General features: G+C 42.5%; 1 protein-coding gene and 2 pseudogenes across 15 annotated transcripts in view, besides 2 other annotated features; all 3 read left to right on the top strand.

The window, feature by feature from the left end:
• Positions 1 to 16,651, top strand: part of IKZF3 (IKAROS family zinc finger 3) — a 106,598-nt gene that overhangs the window by 24,125 nt on the left and 65,822 nt on the right. For 13 of the 15 annotated variants that reach the window (NM_001257413.2, NM_001257412.2, NM_001257411.2 and 10 more), the window contains exons 2-3: positions 8,037 to 8,090; positions 10,700 to 10,801. In NM_001257413.2, coding sequence (NP_001244342.1) covers positions 8,037 to 8,090; positions 10,700 to 10,801 — 156 coding nt within the window. The remainder of the gene's footprint in view (positions 1 to 8,036; positions 8,091 to 10,699; positions 10,802 to 16,651) is intronic. The other 2 variants (NM_001257409.2, NM_001257408.2) reach the window with 1 other exon arrangement.
• On the top strand, positions 615 to 1,016 carry RPL39P4 (ribosomal protein L39 pseudogene 4; annotated as a pseudogene).
• KRT8P34 (keratin 8 pseudogene 34) lies at positions 3,695 to 5,464 on the top strand (annotated as a pseudogene).
• Positions 4,293 to 4,792: an enhancer, noted in NCBI's record as "H3K4me1 hESC enhancer chr17:37991649-37992148 (GRCh37/hg19 assembly coordinates)". NCBI's record gives its function as "activates a minimal SCP1, AML or CMV promoter by ChIP-STARR-seq in primed H9 embryonic stem cells {active_cell/tissue: H9 hESC(primed)}" and the evidence as "EXISTENCE:reporter gene assay evidence [ECO:0000049][PMID:30033119]".
• Positions 16,246 to 16,446: a silencer, noted in NCBI's record as "peak2841 fragment used in MPRA reporter construct". NCBI's record gives its function as "represses an SCP1 promoter by STARR-seq MPRAs in K562 erythroleukemia cells {active_cell/tissue: K562}" and the evidence as "EXISTENCE:reporter gene assay evidence [ECO:0000049][PMID:32103011]".

Raw genomic sequence — 16,651 nt, 5'->3', positions numbered from 1 at the left:
AAATAGCCCAACTGAGGCTAAAATAACTAAACAGATTTATACTTCTGCAAAGGTGACTAACTCATCCCAGTTTCTTTGGGACTCTGAAAGTTCTGTGTTCTAGGAAACCCCTCAATCCAGGCATATTGGGACATTTGGTCACCCCAGCTGCTGCCCACAACAGGTGAGACGGAGTTTGAGTTTAAGCCAAGGCAAGTTAGTTGCAAGGTTTAAAAAGTAAAAAGTCTGGTCAGGCATTGTGGCTCAAGTCTGTAACCCTAGCACTTTGGGAGGCCAAGGCGGGAAGATTACCTTAAGGCCAGGAGTTTGAGACCAGCCTGGGCAACATGGCGAGACCCCCACTCTACAGAAAATAGAAAAATTAGCTGGACATGGTGACACCTACCTGTAGTCCCAGCTACTCGAGAGGCTAAGGTGGGAGGATCACCTGAGCCCAGGGAGGTCAAGGTTGCAGTGAGCTGTGATTGCACCTATAGTCCCGGCTACTCAGGAGGCAGAAGTGGGAGGATTGCTTGAGCCTGGGATGAAGAGGGCTCAAATCATACCACTGCACTCCAGCCTGGGCAACAGAGTCAGACCCTGTCTAAAAAAAATAAAAATAAAGAAACAGTCCTCTCTTCCTTTCTCCGCCATCGTGGTGTGTGCTTGCCTCCACTTCTCACCATGTCTTCTCACAAGACTTTCAGGATTAAGTGATTCCTGGCCAAGAAACAAAAGGAAAATCTTCCCATTCCGCAGTGGATTTAGATGAAAACTGGTAATAAAATCAGGTACAACTCCAAAAGGAGACATTGGAAAAGAACCAAGCTGAGTCTGTAAGGAATTGCACATGAGATGGCACACATATTTATGCTGTCTCAAGGTCACAATCATGTTACCATATCAAGCTGAAAATGTCACCACTGTCTGGAGAGTTGAACATGTTTTATTGGGAATATATTTTTTCTCTCTGAATCTCTTATGAACGTGTTGGTTGACTGCATTCAGTAATAAATATATGAGACCTTTCATTTCAAAAAATACGAAAAAAAAAAAGAAGAAAAATTAAAACAAAAAGGACTGGGCATGGTGGCTCATGCCTATAATCCCAGCTCTTTGGGAAGCTAAGGCAAGAGGATTCCTTGAGGCCAGGAGTTCAAGACAAGCCTGGGCAACATAGTGAGACTCTGTCACTACAAAAAACTTTAAGAGCCAGATGTGGTGGCACACACCTGTAGTCCTAGGTACTCAGTAGACTCAGGCAGGAGGACTGCTTGAGCCCAGGAGTTTAAGGTTACAGTGAGCTATGATCATGCCACTGCACTCAAGCCTGGGCCACAGAGCAAAATCCTATCTCTTAAAAAAAAAGTAAAACAAAGATTCCTACATGCTTCAGAGGAACATATAGAATTCACAATTTATGTAATATATCATTCACAAGGTCCAGCATACAATCCAAAATTATGTGGTCATATGAAGAAGCAGGAAAATATGACCCATACTCAAGAGAAAAGGAAATCAATGGTAACTGACCTCAAGATGGCATACATAATGGAACTGGCAGACAAGAACTTGTATAAACTATAGTAATTACACTTCTGTAATTGAAGTTATAGAAGGAAAAGCGTGGGAGAATGGAACAGAAAAAATATTTGAAAGCATTTAGAGAAAAATGAAAAGGATATAAAGGAAAATATGCTTTTAATAAACAAATAGAAAACCTCAGCAGAGAAATTAAAATGAACTAAATGGAAATTCTAGAACTAAAAATTACAATATCTGAAAAAGAAAACTCATTAGATAGGCTTAACAGCAAATTAAGATGACAGAAGAAAGAGTAAATGAACTTGAAGATATGAAAATAGAAATTATTCCTTCTGAATATCAGAGAAAAAAGCATTGTGGGGAGATAAAACAACAATGTCTCAGGGAACTGTGGGAAAATATGAAAAGATCTAACACACATATAATTGAACTTATAGAAGGAAAAGGGGAGGAGAATGGAACAGAAAAAATATTTGAAGAAATAATGGCTGAAAATTTCTTAAGTTTGGTGAAAAACGTAACTGTACAGATTTAAGAAGTTCCATGAACCCAAGTGGGATATATGCAAATAAAATTACAGCTAGGAATATTATGGTCAAACTGCTGAAAGCCAAAAGTAAAGAGAAAAATCTTGAAAGCACTTAGAGAAAAGGAACACATTACCTATAGGAAAACAACAACACAAGATATCACTGACTTCTCATCAGAAACAATAGAAGACAGGCCAGGCGTGGTGGCTCACGCCTGTAATCCCAGCACTTTGGGAGGCTGAGGCAGGCAGTTTATGAGGTCAGAAGACCGAGACCATCCTGGCTAACAAGGTGAAACCCCGTCTCTACTAAAAAAAAAATACAAAAATTAGCCAGGCATGGTGGTGGGCGCCTGTAGTCCCAGCTACTCGGGAGGCTGAGGCAGGAGAATGGCATGAACCTGGGAGGCAGAGCTTGCAGTGAGCCAAGATTGCACCACTGCACTTCAGCCTGGGCAACACAGTGAGACTCCGTCTCAAAAAAAAAAAAGAAAAAGAAACAATAGAAGACAGAAGACAGTGGAATGCCATCTTAAAAGAGCTGGAAGGAAAAAAAAACTGGGCCAGGTGTGGTGGTTTATCCTCTAATCCCATTTTGGGAGGCTGAGGTGAGAGGATGGCTTGAGGCCAGGAGTTTGAGATCAGCCTTGGCAACAAAGCAAGACCCTGTCTCTAAAAAAAAAAAAAAAGTTTTAAGAAAAAAACCCTGTAAACTCAGAATTCTATATCTAGTAAAAATATCCTATAAGATTGAAGACAAAGTAAAGACATTTGCAAATAATTGAAAACAAGAAAAGTCCCTCAGATAATTGCACTATTAAAAATGCTAAAGTTCTTTAGACTGTAGGGACGTGATACCAGATCAGAACTCAAATCTTTATGAAAAAATGAAAAGCACCAGGCCAGGCACAGTGGCTCACACCTGTAATCCTAACACTTTGGGAGGCTGAGGTGGGAGGATCATTTGAGCCCAGGAGTTTGAGACCAACCTGGGCAACACAGTGAGACCCCCGTCCCTACAAAAGAATTTTTTTTAAATTAGCCAGGCATGGTGGTGCTTCTGTAGTCCTAGTTACTTGGGAGGCTGAGGTGGGAGGATTGCTTGAGCCCAGGAGGTCGAGGCTGCAGTGAACCATGATTGTGCCACTGCACTCCAGCCTGGCAACACAGTGAGACCCTATCTCAAAAAAAGAAAAAAAAGGCACCAGAAATGTTAAATATGTGGGTAATTAGAAAGTACTATTTTTTCATTTTAATCTTTAAAATACAATATGACTATTCAAAGCAAGAATTAGCATTGTATGGTAAGGTTTAAAGTATATGCAGATGTGATACATATGACAACTATAGTATAAAGGTTGGAGGGTAGGAAATGGGCCTAAATGGTTGCAAGCTTTTTACATTTTATGTGAAGTGTATAATTTTAACTCTAAGAAGCCTGGAAAATTAAAGATATATTTTATAGTCCCTAGAACAGAGAGAAATAGACAAATCAACAGTCATATTTGGAGATTTTAATACTCCTTTTTCAGCAACTAAACAACTAGTCAAAAATTAGTATATCCATAGATCTGAATGACATTGTCAACTACCTTGATTTAATTAACATTTATTAAACAGTACACTTGAGAACTGCAGAATACCTAGAAGCAGTTTCTCCACTACTTATTGAATCTCCCCCTGTTTCTGCCCACCTGCCTCCACTCCCGCCTCCACCATGTCCATCAGGGTGACCCAGAAGTTCTACAGGGTGTCCACCTCTGGCCCCGGACCTTCAGCAGCCACTCCAACATGAGTAGGCCTGGTGCCTGCGTCAGTTCCTCGAGCTTCTCCCAAGTGGGCAGCAGCAGCAGTGTCCAGGGTGTCCTGGGTGCCAGCATGGGTCTGGGTGGAGGCTATGGCCGAGCTGGTGGTTATAGGAGGCATCACAGCCATCATGGTCAACCAGAGCCTGCTGAGCCCCCTTAAGCTGGAGGTGGACCCCAACATCCAGGCCGTGTGCACTCAGGAGAAGGAGCAGATTAAGACCCTCAACAAGTTTGCCCCCTTCATCGCGGTTCCTGAAGCAGCAGAACAAGATGCTGGAGACCAAGTAGAGCCTCCTGCGGCAGCAGAAGACAGCTTGGAGCAGCATGGACAACATGTCCAAGAGCTACATCAACAAACCTCCGTGGCAGCTGGACACTCTAGGCCAGGAGAAGCTGAAACTGGAGGCAGATCTTGGCAACATGCAGGGGCTGGTGGAGGACTTCAAGAACAAGTACGAGGATGAGATCAGTAAGCATACAGAGATGGAGAATAAAATTGTCCTCATCAAGAAGGATGTGGATGAGGCATACATGAATAGGGTGGAGCTGGATGGAGTCTTACCTGGATGGCAAGCTTACAAGATCAGCTTCCTCAGGCAGCTGTATGAAGAGGAGATCTGGGAGCTCCAGTCCCAGATCTTGGACACATCTGTGGGGCTGTCCACGCATAACAGCTGCTCCCTGGACACGGACGGCATCATTGCTGAGGTCGAGGCCCAGTATGAGAAGATCGCCAACCGCAGCCAGGCCAAGGCTGACAGCATGCACCAGATCAAGTATGAGGAGCTGCAGACCCTGCCTGGGAAGCACAGGATGACCTGCGTTGTACAAAGACGGAGATCTCCAAGATAAACTGGAACATCAGCCGGCTCCAGTCTGAGACAGAGGGCCTCAAAGGCCAGAGGGCTTCCCTGGAGGCCGCCATTGTGTATGTGTGGGGAGCGGTCCATTAAGGATGCCAATGCCAGGGGGTCCAAGCTGGAGGCCGCCCTACAGTGGGCCAAGCAGGACGTGGCGCGTCAGCTGCTCAAGTACCAGGAGCTGATGACCATCAAGCTGGCCCTGGACATTGAGATCGCCACCTACAGGAAGTTGCTGGAGGGCAAGGAGAGCCAGCTGAAGTCTGGGATGCAGAGCATGAGTATCCATATGAAGACCACCAGGGGCTACTCAGGTGGGCTGAGCTCAGCCTACAGGGGCCTTACAAGCCCTGGCCTCAGCTATGGCTTGGGATCCAGCTTTGGCTCTGGCGGGGGCTCCAGCTCCTTTGGCTGTGCCTGCTTCTCTAGGGCTGTGGTTGTGAAGAAGATCAAGACCACGATGGGAAGCTGGTGTCCCAGTCCTCTGATGTCCTGCCCAGGTGAAAGGCCATAGCAGCCCCTCCCAGCCTACCCCCTCCCATGGCTTCTCCAGAGCCTGTGGAGGAGGCCACTGTGCAGGGGAGTATAGGGAACAGGAGACCCACCTGAGGCTCAGCCCTAACCCTCAGCCCACCCATGGGGAGTTTACTGCCTGGGATACCCCCCTTGCCCATGCCTCCAGCTACAAAACAATTACATCATTTTTTTTTCCTCCAAAATAAAGCCTCAGCCAGATCTGCAAAGCAAAACAAAACAAACAAAGAAAACCAACAAAAACCAGAACATACATATGTCTCAACTACACATGGCACATTCACCAAGAACACCAGTCTTAATACTTTTAAAAGGACTACAGTCACACAGACTGTGTTCTCTGACTGTAGTGCAATGGAATTTGACTTCAATAACAAGTTAGCTAAAGAATTCCCGAATTCCCCCAAATATCTGGAAATTAAACACTTATAAATAACCAGTGGATCACAGAAGACTCGAGGGAAATTAGAACTGAATTATAATCAAAACATCAGCATTTATGAGATGCAGCTAAAGCAATGCTTACAGGAAAACTTATAGCTTTAAATGTTTACAATTAGAAAAGAAGAAAGGAATAAAGTCAGTCACTAAAATTTCACCTTAAGAGGGCAGAAGCAGAGTAAGTTAAGCCCAAAGTAGAGGGAAGAAGCACTTTTGAACAAGTTCTAGTTTCACTGTGTTGAAACTAGATATATGCCTCCTACCCTATAACCCAGTAATTCCACACCTAGGTATTGACTCAAGAGACATGAAAGCATATGACCACAGAAATACTTGTGCAAGGATGATCATGCTCCAGTCTAATCATGAGAAAAACAAACACATCCCAGTTGAGGGACATTCTACAAAATACCTGACCAGTACTCAAAACTGTCAAGATCATCAAAACAAGGAAAGTCTGAGAAACTGTCCCAACCAAGAGGAGCCTAAGGAGACAAGATGACTAAATGTAATGTGGGATCCTGGAAGGGATCCTGCAACAGAAAAAGGACATTAGATGAAAACTAAGGAAATCTGAATACTTAGATAGTAATAATGTATGAATATATATTCATTAATTATAACTGATGTACCATACTAATATAAGATGTTAATAATAGGGGAAATTGGGTGTGGGGTATATGGGAACTCTCTGTGCTATCTTTGCAATTTTTCCATAAATTTAAAACTACTCTAAAATTTAAAAGTTTATTATTTTAAAAAGGAATATCATAGTAGTTTGACTTATAAATAGCCCAAACTGGAAACAGTCTAGGTGTCCATCAATAGGAGAATGGATAAACAAACTGGGATATTCATATGGAATACTACTTAGCAATAAAAAAGAATGAACTACTGATAAACACCACAGAATGGATGTATCTCAAAACATTATGTTGAGTGAAAGAAGCCTCGGGCAAAATAATTTATACCATATGTCTGTGTGATTCTGTTTTTATGAAGTTCTAAAATAGGCTAAACTAATCTATGGTGGAAAAAGTCAAAACAGTAGTTGTCTCTGGAGTATGTGGGTGGGAATTGACTAGGAAGAGATGTGAGGGAGCTTTTCTGGGATGATGGTAATGTTCTGTATCTTGATAGGGGTTTGCATTACATGAGGATATGCATTTTTAAAAACTCATTGAATGGTACACTTAAGATCCATGCATATCACTGTATGTAAAATTTACTTTTTAAAATCTTGTAAACAGATATTGAATTTTAGTTAATAATAATCATGCTGAAATGTTAGGACTGAGGTATACTGATATCTGCAACTTATTTTGCAATGCGTTGAAAAAGCTGGATCGATGAATGGATTGAGAGATGAATGGGTGGAAACATATGTGAGAAAGCAAAAATAGCAAAATGTTAATTGTAGAATCCAGAGGGTGAGTAATGGATGTTCAACTGTGCAGTTCTTTTTTTAAAATTTTTTATTGATACATAATATTTTACATATTTATGGGGCACATGTGATATTTTGTTACATGCATAGAATATATAATAATCAAGTCAGGGAATTTGGAATGTTTATCACCTTGAGTATTTATCATTTCTATGTGTTGGAAACAATTCAAGTCCTCTCTTCTAGCTATTTTGAAATATATAATACGTCGTTGTTAACTATAGTCACCCTACTCTGCTGTCAAACATTAGAGCTTATGCCTTCTATGTAACTATATGTTTTACCCATTAACTAATCTCTCTTCATCCCCCATTCCCACCCACACACCCTGTCTATCATTCTACTTTCCACCTCCATGAGATCAACGTGTTTACTGTCATATATGAATGAGAACATGTGATATTTGTCTTTCTGTGCCTGACTTATTTCACTTAACATAGTGACTTCCAGCTCCATCCATATTGCTGCAAATGACATGATTTTATTCTTTTTAATTGCTGAATAGTATTTCATTATATATATGTACATATATATGTACATATATATATATATACCACTTTGAACTCTTTTTTTCTATGTGTTCATAATAAAATATTGGGGAAGAATAAAGAATATATGAAATTATTTCTAATGGAACCCACTTTTTGCATATTGTTCTTGGTGTAAGTAGATCTCTGGCAGAAAGTTCTTAGAGTAACATTGCTGCATCAATATTTTTTTTTCATGCTCCTTGAAAGGCTTTTAGGGAGAATATAGAGAAAGAGTAATCTTGCTCTGAAAGAGGAATTCTGCTGTTAAGTTTTCCGAAATGGTATCCCTTATTAAATTTGGAATGCTCAAACCTGTAGAAATGTACCCTAAGTAGCTAATATTTATAACCTCTTTCTTTTCAGATATACAAACAAATGCGGAACTGAAAAGCACTCAGGAGCAGTCTGTGCCCGCAGGTAACATCAGGTCTTTCCTCTCTGGAAATATACCTTTACTAAAAAAAATACCAAAGAGAGAGGAATGTGCTTATTCTGGTTGCAGTAAAAATGCTATGGAAATGTGTGTGTGTTTTTTTTTAAATATGGTTGTCTGTTGCTGATGAAAAAATAACTCATCCATTTAGATCATGTAAGTTCTTTAGCATCTTAGGGCCAAACATACACTACCTAATGTTGATCACTGTTTGTTTGTTTGTTTGTTTGTTTTTGATTTTTCAGCTCATTGCTCTGAAGACAGTTTTTGTTGAATAATATAGTAGCTTGTATTTGAATGACTTGCGATTTTTACTGTAGAACAGTGGTCTGCAAACTTTTTTGTAAAGGGCCAGATAGTAAATATTTAGACTTTGCAGGCCACATATGGTCTCTGTCACGTATTATTTTTTGTATTTCTTACAACCCTTAAAAAATGTAAAAACCATTCCTACCTCTTGGGCCCACACAGAAGCAGGCTATGGTCAGACTTGTACCTCAGGCCATAGTTTACTGATCCCTGCTCTAGAATAAATTATAAACATTTACAATAATTTATTTCCTGAAAATAACTTCTGTGTCCTCCATTGATTAACTCACTGTGTGAATCAAAGCTTACATTATATTACAAAATTTAATTTATCACTGAAATGCCTTTTTGTGTTACTGTAACTTGTAATCACATCTTTCTTTCTTTCTTTTTTTTTTGAGACGGAATTTCGCTCTTGTTGCCCAGGCTGAAGTACGATGGTGTGATCTCGGCTCACCACAACCTTAGCCTCCCGGGTTCAAGCCATTCTCCTGCCTCAGCCTCCTGAGTAGCTGAGATTACAGGCATGCACCACCATGCCTGGTGTATTTTTAGTAGAGGCGGGGTTTCACCACGTTGGTCAGGCTGGTCTCGAACTCCCAACCTCAGGTGATCCGCCCGCCTCGGCCTCCCAAAGTGCTGGGATTACAGGCATGAGCCACCGCACCCGGCCAATCACATCTTTTAACTGAACCTAAATCTCATATTAATTGTTTAGGTGTCCACTATATTTTAGTCATTTCAGGCTTGAGAAAAGTGAACCATTGTTTAGAATGGTATCTTAGAGTTCACAGAGTATACATCATAATATGCAGAAATTAGAAACTTCAGATATTCATAAATCAAACACTGAGTCCATGGTGACCACATTTTCAGGGGCTCTTAGTGATGGGTTTTGTGAAACGTGTTTCTCTTTCGCTCCCGCGTGTGTTTGGTCATGGCTCAGCTGAAAGGAGTGCCACTGCAGAGCTTCTAGTTACCTCCCTACTTCAGCCCAGCCTCAGTGCCACAGGATTCAGTGTCTTTGACTATTTTTTATATTAATGGGAACTCAGCAAATATTTTATTGAAGATTGGGAAGGAGTTAGATAAAAAGAGGGTAACTTTTCAGTTCATTTCTTCTGCTATCATCTTTTTGTTAAGCTACTATGCCTATATGTGAAAATAATTCCAGTTGCATTGTTCCTTTTTCTTCTAGTATTATCAATATTTATTATACATTTCTCTTAAACTTATTTTGTAACAAGTTTGCTGTTTGTTTAAGCATGTCTTTATTATGTCTGCTCCCTTTCACTTATGAACTTTAATAACACTTTGTATTTCCTTTATTTAATCCTTTGTCTGAGCCTACCATGTGTTAGAGTTGTGGGCTTCTCTTATCTATATCTCAAAGTATGAGCTCCTTGAAGACATAATGACTTATTCATATCTGTAGCCTTGTCAACATTCAGTAAATGTTCAAACAAATAAAGAAACTTGGGGTCCAATATGTTTTCCACAGAATCACATTTATAATGTGAACAGAAGGGAAAAACAGAATTTGGCATACAGAAAGCTTACAGATCTTCCTCCTAGGAAAGCATCTTTCCCAAATTAGGTTATGCCAGTGTTTGCACGCTTAGTATTTCTGGTCACTACTTTGTCATAAATAGCAATGGCATCCTACTGAATATCGTGAGATATACCAATGGAGAGATAGTTTTTCTCCAGAAGGAACATGAGTGCCCTTTAACTCAGATGAAAGAAATATTCAAGAAAGTTGTGTGTATTCAGAGGGTACATGAACCCTGGGCATATTTCTTTTCTCTTTTTTTTTTGTTTGAGACGAAGTCTCACTCTGTCACCCAGGCTGGAGTGCAGTGGTGCTATCTTGGCTCACTGCAACCTCCACCTCCCGAGTTCAAGTGATTCTCCTGCCTCAGCCTCCCGAGTAGCTGGGATTACAGGCATGCACCGCCATGCCCAACTAATTTTTGTATTTTTAGTAGAGATGGGGTTTCACCATGTTGGCCAGGCTGGTCTCGAACTCCTGACCTCAGGTGATCTGCCCATCTCGGCCTCCCAAAGTGCTGGGATTACAGGCGTGAGCCACTGCGAACCCTGGGCTTATTTCTAAACCTCAAGAGTTTTCATGTATACATCCCTTTTGGGTATGTGTGAAGGGGTACTATCTGTCACTAAAGGATTGTGTGAAGCTGAAAGTTAAATGGGGGTCTACTTAATATATATTTATAAAAATCCTTTAACGTTGAACCACATACTTAAAATTCCTTTTATCTTTTAGAAAGTGCAGCGGTTTTGAATGACTACAGTTTAACCAAATCTCATGAAATGGAAAATGTGGACAGTGGAGAAGGCCCAGCCAATGAAGATGAAGACATAGGAGGTGAGCCGTAGTGTGCAGACTAAACACTGATGCCTGTAGATATTGCTTAGGCTTAGTGTAGAGAAGAAATCAGCTCTCCAAGGAAAACTTGCAATTGTAGGTTTAGTTAGGAGTGATTCTGTTTTGTTAATTTCACAAATATTTGCATTTCATAGTTGTAGGTTATCAGCAAATTTTGAGAATTTAAGGTGCTTATCCAGTGTTCCAATTATATTAACTTCACTTAAAACATGATGTTTGACTATTTTCCATTATAAAAGTAATACATGTTTATTGTAGAAAGTTTGTCTGGGGTGTTTTCTGACACCAACAAACCAATTTTCTGGTTTTCCGACAATGACTTGGTGTCCAACAATTCAATTCAATTATTATTATTATTTTTTTTTGAGACGGAGTTTCACTTTGTCGCCCAGGCCAGAGTGCAGTGGCGCAATCTCGGCTCACTGCAACCTCCGCCTCCCATGTTTTAGTGATTCTCCTGCCTCAGTCTCCCAAATAGCCGAGATTACAGGCGCCCACCACCATGCCCGGCTAATTTTTGTATTTTTTTTAATAGAGACGGAGTTTTACCATGTTGGCCAGGCTGGCCAGGAACTCCTGACCTCAAGTGATTGCCAAACTCAGCCTTCCAAAGTCCTGGGATTACAGGCATGAACCACCATACCCAGCCCACTTCAATTCAATTCTGATTGTAATTCCTGATGTTTGCGTAGACCGCACAGGTTACAGGCTCAGTCTCACAGTACTGCACAGTACTCTCCCTACTTTAGACAACAGTCTCAAGTACCAGGTCCCCAGGTTACCTGCACTTTTGTCTGACTTAGCTACAAAATCGGGGACTCCCCTCCACATGTTTAATAATTTGCTAGGATGACTCACAGGACTTGTTACATAACTCATTTATTCATTCCTTTACTCTCAGCTACTCTTCCTCCTTCTTACTGTTTATGCCCAAACTTTCCCACCTTTGGGAGGAATATTAGGTTTGACCACTGCACTGGTCTAGATCGTAGGCAGCAATACTAGTCTAGCAAGCACCTCTCCCTCAGTCAACTCCCATACATACAGGATAGGGTTACACAGGTACGGAACTAGTGGGCTATTTCTACCACTAGGCAATACATCTGCATTCAATGTTAACCCCAATTTTGCCAGATGGGGTAAAGGCACAGCCTGCCTCATCAGGCCCTTAGGAGTTCTGACATAAAGGTTTAAAGCTACGGTTACACTTTCTTGCTTTAGAAATCATCTCTGTTTCTGGCACTTGTAATTACAGTGCTGGTATTGCAACCACTGCATCTGGTAGGAAAGAGAAAGCTGATGTGACAATGTAGGGAAGGAAAAAAAGAATAGTCATCACACCAATATCCTCCTCTTTGGCAAGAATTGTATAGTCATATCAGCATCCTCCCCCACCTCCTCTTCCCTAATCCACCAGAAAAACAGAGGAATCTACCTAGTGGGAACACTCCCTTAGCTCATTTCAATGTGACCTCACACTTGTGCAAATGCATAAACCAACCCTTCACACCTATACCTTACCCTATTTTAGATATCTATCAAACTACTACTCTGAGGAGGATAGCTCTTTGCCCATTGTTTGACATTATGGGCTGTAAGTAGAGTGCTCCTTAGTCTAAAGAAATGTGGCTCAGCCATTCAAATTGGTGCAATATCTTCTGTTCTGGTTCTTTCGTGGTACTGACCATTTGTGTATACAACCAGGTAAGCAAAGCCCCTTCCAGAGTCTGTGTTTATCCCCGTCAAAAACAATTTATAGGTTGGGTGCAGTGGCTCACACCTGTAATCCCAGCACTTTGAGAGGCTGAAGCAGGAGGATCTCTTGAGCCCAGGAATTTGGGCCCAGCCTGGGCAACATGGTGAGGCCTCATCTCTATAAAAAAAAATTATAATAATACAAATAAATTAGCCAGGTGTGGTGGTGTGTGCCTGTAGTCCCAGCTACTCAGGAGGCTAAGGCTGGAGGATCACTTGAGCCTGGGAGGTTGAGGCTGCAGTGAGCTGTGATCCTGCTACTGCACTCCAGCCTGGGCAACACAGTGAGATCCTGTCTCAAAAGAACAACAACAGGCCGGCCGTGGTGACTCACACCTGTAATCCCAGCACTTTGAGAGGCTGAGGCAGGTAGATCATTTGAGGTTGGGAGTTCGAGACCAGCCTGACCAACTGGTTAAACCCCATCTCTACTAAAAATACAAAAATTAGCCAGGTGTGGCGGTACTCACGTGTAATCCCAGCTACTGGGGAGGCTGAGGCAGGAGAATTGCTTGGACTCGGGAGGCAGAAGTTGCAGTGAGCCAAGATTGCACCACTGCACTCCAGCCTGGGTGACACAGTAAGACTCCATCTCAAAAAAAGAACAAAAACAAAAATGATTTGTAGCCCTTGGGACTACCAGCATTGGCTCTTCAATGCAATCCACTTGCCAACTATGTGTGGGGTCTTCCCCCTGGGGAATCTTCCCCATAGTCACCTATAGTAACTGTCTCTCTTATTGGCAGACATAATAGTTTGTTGCTATTTTGTGCCTCAGGAGGTCCAAGGGAAATATGTCCAAATTCAGCCCATCTTCTGCAGTGGCTGTAGCATCCCCCATCCTGTCTACTCATTTTATGGACCCACGTGCTCACCTCAAACACGCACACTGTGATACCTACTAATTGGTTCTGATCAGCTTCCAAATCTGGAAGGGGGGTCTTTTACCGAGCATTGACATGTCCTACTTTAATGCACCCCTCAAATTCCCATAGTGATTTCCACAGGGCTTTGTCCCATATGAGAGTCCCTTTAATATGCCAAGTTTCCATTGCACTCTTGCCTTACCACATGGCCAGGCTGTTGGCCATTGCCCATGAATCAGAAACTGAAACATATGGGCATGTATCACTGTTCAGTTCTTCCATCACTTCTAGGAAAACAGCAGATTATTCAGCTCACCAAGCTGATTTGTTTTTACCTTCTTTAATTACAGTTGTGGTGTTCCAAACAGGATGTTGTCCATTTACCTTAAAACTACCATCCACAGCCAGGCATGGTGGCTTATGCCTGTAATCCTAACACTTTGGGAGGCCAAGGCAGGAGGATTGCTTGAGCTCAGGAGTTCAAGACCAACCTGGGCAATATAGTGAGACCTCGTCTCTACAAAACATTTAAAAATTAGCTAGGCATGGTGGCATATGCCTGTGGTCCCAGCTACTTGGGGGACTGAGGTGGTAGGATCGTTTGAGCCTGGGAGGTTGAGGCTGTAGTGAACCCTGATCGTGTCACTGCTCTCTAGGCTGGATGATAGAATGAGACCCTGTCTCAACAAACAAAAAAACTACCGTCCACAAATCAAGCATCTCTTTGTTGGTCAAAGACTACTTTATAGGGCACTGTCTAAGTGATGATAGAATCCAGCAGCTCCTCACATAGTTCCAAAGTCAATTGTAGGGGAAAAGAGGATCCCTGCCCCTGAGTATATCATCCTTTCATTCCTAAGGTACCATGATTCTCTATAAACTATTTCTATGTTATTATAGAACTCTTCTGGGCAATGCTCTCCCCATTAGAACACTTCTCTGACATCACCCAAGACTTCGTTGATATTTTAGGTTTTAAAATTATTTTTTTGTCCTTCAATCATAAGAGCAATTTCAATTAATATTCAATAGCAGGCTAATAATTTCCCCTCAAATGGAAATTCTCTGGTCCAAAATCCAATTGTTGTCATTGCTGGAAAGTACTCACAGGTTTTTGCCATAAGCCATTACCCAATTCTCACACACCAAGCCTATATTTCACCTACCCTAAGTCATCCCAGGGCCAGATACCAGTCAACCAGAGACCATCTCTATGCTTTAGAGCCCACCAGAATTATTAAAACTAGCCAATCCTAAACTGTTTACCCAGCCCTGCCTTGCCTTTTCCACAGAAACCCCAATTAAGGCTCTGACCTAAGGTTTTTCCTCATTCCTCTTTTCTGCCTCCTGACCAACACTGGTGCTTTCTCCTGTGATCTTGCATAGCACATAATAACCACCTCTCTGGGACCTGTGAATGTGATAAACTTCTTTCTGGGCCTTGTTCTAATTTTCTTTGTGTCCACACTGACTTTACCATATCATATCTGACATGTACATTCTTAAGACACCACTTAACCGTGGCATTTACCATGACCTGGTGTATTAGTCTGTTCTCATGCTGCTATGAAGAAATACCCAAGATTGGGCAATTTATAAAGAAAAGAGGTTTAATTGACTCACACTTCCAAATGGATGGGGAAGCCTCAGAAAACTTACAATCATGGCAGAAGGCAGCTTTTCACAGGGTGGCAGGAGAGAACGAGTGCCAGCAGGGAAATGCCAGACACTTATGAAACCATCAGATCTTGGCCAGGTGCGGTGGCTCACACCCGTAATCCCAGCTCTTTGGGAGGCCGAGGCGGGAGGATCACGAGGTCAGGAGATCGAGATCATCCTGGCTAACATGGTGAAAACCTGTCTCTACTGAAAATACAAAAAATTAGCCAGGTGTGGTGGTGGGCACCTGTAGTCCCAGCTACTTGGGAGGCTGAGGCAGGAGAATTGCGTGAACCTGGGAGGCAGAGCTTGCAGTGAGCCAAGATCACGCCACTGCACTCCAGCCTGGGTGACAAAGCGAGACTCCGTCTCAAAAGGAAAAAAAAAAAAAAGCCATCAGATCTTATGAGAACTCACTCACTATCACAAGACCAACATGGGGGAAACCACCTCCATAATTCAATTACCCCATTATTCAATCCCACCGGGTCCTTCTCACAACACGTGGGGATAATGGGGGTTACAATTCAAGATGAGATTTGGGTAGGGACGCAGCTAAACCATATCATTCTGCCCTGGCCCCCATTCAAATCGCATGTCCTCATATTTCAAAACACAATCATGCCTCCCTAACAGTCCCCCAAAGTCTTAACTCATTCCAACATCAACCCAAAAGTCCAAGTCCAAAGTCTCATCTGAGACAAGGCAAGCCCCTTCTGCCTATAAGTCTGTAAAATCAAAAGCAAGTTAGTTACTTCCCAGATACAATGGAGGTACAGGCACTGGGTAAATATACCCATTCCAAATGGGAGATATTGGCCAAAACAAAGGGACTACAAGCCCCATGCAAGTCCGGAATCCAATAGGGCAGTCATTAAACCTTAAAGTTCCAAAATGATCTCCTTTGACTCCATGTCTCACATCCACGTCACGCTGATGCAAGAGGTGGGCTCCCATGGCTTTGGGCAGCTCCGCCCCTGTGGCTTTGCAGGGTACAGTCCCCTTCCCAGCTGCTTTCACGGGCTGGCGTTGAGTGTCTTGCAGCTTTTCCAGGTGCACGACACAAGCTGTCAATGGATCTACCCTTCTGGGGTCTGGAGGATGGTGGCCCTCTTCTAACAGCTCCACTACACGGTGTTCCAGTGGGGACTCTGCATGGGGGGTTTTACCCTACATATCCCTTCTGCACTGCCCTAGCAGAGGTTCTCCATGAGGGCTCCACCCCTGTAGCGAACTTCTGTCTGGACATCCGATGTTTTCATACATCCTCTGAAATCTAAGCAGAGGTTCCCAAACCTCAATTCTTGACTTCTATGCACCCATAGGCTCAACATCACATGGAAGCTGCCAAGGCTTGGGGCTTGTACTCTCTGAAGCAACAGCCTGAGCTGTACCTTTGCCCCTTTTAGATGCAGCTGGAGCAGCTGGGACACAGAGCACCATGTCCTGAGCCTGCACAGAACAGGGTGACCCTGGACCCAGCCCAGGAAACCATTTTTGCCTCCTAGACCTTTGGGCCTGTGATGGGAGGGGCCGCTGTGAAGGTCTC

This window comes from Homo sapiens, chromosome 17 (genome assembly GCF_000001405.40).
Source record: "Homo sapiens chromosome 17, GRCh38.p14 Primary Assembly".
In the NCBI taxonomy this organism is placed as follows: domain Eukaryota; kingdom Metazoa; phylum Chordata; class Mammalia; order Primates; family Hominidae; genus Homo; species Homo sapiens.
This window is presented reverse-complemented; position numbering and strand designations above follow the sequence as displayed.